Raw genomic sequence first — 3,711 nt, 5'->3', positions numbered from 1 at the left:
TCGGTAAGGCCTTTTGGCTTTGCTTCTATAGCCCTATGTACTTCTTTTGGCAGGATTTATATTAGGCTGTGTGGTTTGACCTACGAGTCAGTAGATGGTGCTTACGGGTAAGAACCAGCTGTGGTCAACCCGGCTCGGTATATACTTGATTCTTACTTACTGGGAGAAACTCTCTGTTGCCTCAGGCAATGGGCTAATCTCTGGGGTGCACAGTGGCCTGAGCTCCCTGGCTAGACCCCAATTGTGGCAGTGGGCCATATAGGTGAGGCCAGACCAGGAACGTTCACCTATTGGTGCCCTAATGGCAAGCACAAGCACAAGCACCAGCACTGAGAGATCATTCAGTGGGAAAGCACCAAGTGCCCAGCGGTGTGCTTAGCCTAGGAGCTGGGAAACCTCCTTGGCTCCATGTTTCCTACATTGGGGGTTGGTCACCTAAACTCCTAATCCATGAAAGTAGGTGCTCCAGATGCCTGGAGATCTACCTGGATGTGCAGCATAGGGGGCTCTGCTGCACCATAATGTCTGCACAGGAAAGGTGAGGTGGCTCGGGCTGCTAAAGTGGATGGGTGCTATAATACTTGAAAATATGTCCGGGCATGTGGCAGAGAGGGTCCCACTGTACCAGTCTTTTCACAGGTAGGGTGGAGCAGCTCAGGTTGCTGATACAGGCAAACAGGTGCTCTGAATGTCTGTAGATCAGCCTGAGCATGGAGCAGAAAAGTTGTCACTGCACTGAAACCTCTGAACAGGAATGATAGGGCAGCTTAGGCTGCTGGTTCAGGTGAGTGACTGCTCCAGCTACCCGGGCATGGAACAGAGAGGTACCCCCTGCACCAAGATCTCTGCACAGGACAGGTGGAACAACTCAGTGTGCTGAACCAGGAAAGCAGGTGTTCCAAATGCCTGGAGATCTGCCTGGGTGTGGAGAAGAAAGAGCAATACTGCTCCCAGATCTCTGCCCAGGAAGGGTGGGGAGGCACCAGCTGCTGATCTAGGTGAGTAGATGCTCTGAATGCCTGAGGATGTGCCTGGGCGTAGAGCAGAGAGGTCTCACTGCAACATAATCTATGCCCAAGAAGGGTGGAGGCTGCTAAGACTGCTGGCCCAGGGAAACATGTGCCCCAAGTGCCTGGATTTCTGCTTGAGGATGGAGCAGAAAGGCCCTGTTGCATCACAAACTCAGGGGAGCAGGCTGGAGCATCCGATAAAGCAATACACAGACTAGTTCCAGGTTGCCAAGCTGGCCCTGCCTGCAAGTCTCATTGTCTAGGAAAAAGCACAGCTGCAGCAGTCCTCCTCCTGCCCCAGGCCTGTGACAGAGAAAACATAATTCCAGTGTCTACTGTTCAGGCACTTCCCACAGTTTTGGCTGTGGAGAGCCCTACTCTGCTCTAGAGCAAGTGCTTCAGTTTTTGGCAAGAGACTAAAATGTCTGTGTGACCATGCTGCTAGGTCGTCAAAGAATGACTGACTTTGTATGTGCCTAGATTAAAAATGACATCCTGCTCTCAGTCCAAGGGCTGAAAAAATGCCTGCAGATTTTCCCACGTTGTTTCCCCCTCTGTGCCTCCAAGCCACTCCTCACATTAGCTCCAGGACTTGGAAGGAACAAAGTGTTGTCTCTTGGACTGTGTTGCTTGAATCCCCAGTGAAAAGGTGAGTCACAGAGGGAGACTGTCTGCTTCTCTCATGTACTCTGGCTTCACTCCCTTTTATCAGTCAGATGCCATCACAGGGGCTTGTTGGCTCATGTTTTCCCAGGGATCTGGGATATCCTTCAGTATTCTGATGGATTCCCATTTTCCTTCTTGAATTAAAACTCACAGAGTTTATCTTTCTGCACTGTCTTGGTATTTCCAAGTGGCTGAGGCATGTTAAAAGCCTCCAATCCACCATCTTGAAAAAATAACATACTATCTTGACTTTTAGAACAATGGCAAAATACTGAGAGGCATAATGTACAATTATCAGTACAAGCAAAATCAGTCTCTAACTGTCAATTTTGTGGTCCTGCACTATTGAACCTGAGCTTTGGTTCCCCAGTTGCTTCTGCCCATCTCTAGTTCTAATTATTCTATTTGATGTCCTCCATTCTCACTCCTAATTCGCACCTGGTTAAAATTCAGATTAATGATGTAACAATTTTCCCTTTGACCTACCTGAAGACATTTTTCCTCTTTAAGTGTATTAAGGGTAATATAAATGAAGCCATTTGCACTTTTAGATATTATTATTATTCTAAACTGTTAGGATAGATGGAAAAGTAGAGTTTCCAGGAAGTCTAATGACCAGCATAGGCTATGAAAAAAAAATAATAAAAACAGAGACAGACAGACAGACAGAGACAGAGAGAGAAGAGTTATTCTGATACAGAAGAAGTCAATAAGAGAGGTAGTTTTATTTTATTAATAGCATTCACCAGGATAATGTTTATTCAGTCATTCATCCCACATATATTTAGACATGTTGATGAATAAATGAGAAAAAAAAATAATTGGCCCATGTGCTTTGGGCTTTAAATTCTATAGGGGAATAAAGACATTACATCAGTAATTACAAATGAGGTAAAAATGAAAAGGAAAGAAATAGTTAAGAAATTTGTAGTAGAAAACCTAACCTAGTGTGATCAGAGATAGACTCACTGAGAAAGTGACAGCAATTGTGAAGGCCTGGAGGCAGGAAAGAATGTGTCCTTCTTCACAAATTAAAGGATGTCCATTGTGTTTTCAGCTTCACTTGTGAGTGAGAACTTGACATAAGATTGGGCTGGATAAGAAGTCTGAGAATACACCATATATCATGGAGGCGTTATAAGCCCAGTGTAGGGATTTCACTTGGGATCTAGGCATAACTAGAAACCATATGAAGGTATTATTCAAGGAAGTAACATGATCAAGTCTGAGCTAATCTTGGCAGCACTTTGGAGAAAAGAGACAAATTTTAATTAAGTAATCAAGACAGAGATTGGAGTGTTTATAACAAATGTAGTGGCAATAGAGCTGTTTAGAAATACAGAGTAGACTGGGTAATAATTTACAAAGTGAACACAGCAGTATTTGGTGATTGACCAGGTGTGTTTAAAGAGGGAGGATAGCAACAAAAAACATGGGACAATCAATGTAGAGTTGCTTAACTTAAAAATACAGGATATTCAGCTAAATTTGAATTTCGGAAAAATAATGAATTTTTTTAGCATGTGTATGCTTTTTGTACTGTTTAAGATTTGCCTATACAAAAGTATTTACTCTTTCCCTGAAATTTGAATTTAACTGGGCATTCTGTTTTATTTGGCAACCCTCTATCTGTGGAATTAGAAATTTATAAAAAGGTGAATAGTTGGTCTCATATACTAACTTTGTTAATGAAAAAGTTTAGTAGGAGGTGCCAGTATGATATTCAAGAGGAAAGTCAGAGTAGGTTTTTTAGAGATATGGATCTAGATTTCAAGTGAAAAGATTCTTGCTGTGATAGTTCTCTTGCTATACCAAATAAATCCTAAAAGAATAGAAATAGGTAATCTTTTTTTCTTGTATAGTATATGGAGTGAGAACAAGATAATATGGGAGACAAACAAAATTTAAAGGCTGGATAGAAAAATGATTCACTATTCAAGAACTTAGGAGCCTTGTATGAAACAGGGCAATCAGGAGACCTAGTAACACAAAATCCCAGTTATTTGAGAAGGAGAGATTGTTACAAGAGTCAAAA

General features: G+C 42.5%; 1 annotated feature.

The window, feature by feature from the left end:
- Positions 1,171-1,671: an enhancer, noted in NCBI's record as "H3K27ac hESC enhancer chr6:141988902-141989402 (GRCh37/hg19 assembly coordinates)". NCBI's record gives its function as "activates a minimal SCP1, AML or CMV promoter by ChIP-STARR-seq in naive and primed H9 embryonic stem cells {active_cell/tissue: H9 hESC(naive and primed)}" and the evidence as "EXISTENCE:reporter gene assay evidence [ECO:0000049][PMID:30033119]".

The sequence above is a fragment of the Homo sapiens genome, chromosome 6 (genome assembly GCF_000001405.40).
Source record: "Homo sapiens chromosome 6, GRCh38.p14 Primary Assembly".
NCBI classification, from domain to species: domain Eukaryota; kingdom Metazoa; phylum Chordata; class Mammalia; order Primates; family Hominidae; genus Homo; species Homo sapiens.
This window is presented reverse-complemented; position numbering and strand designations above follow the sequence as displayed.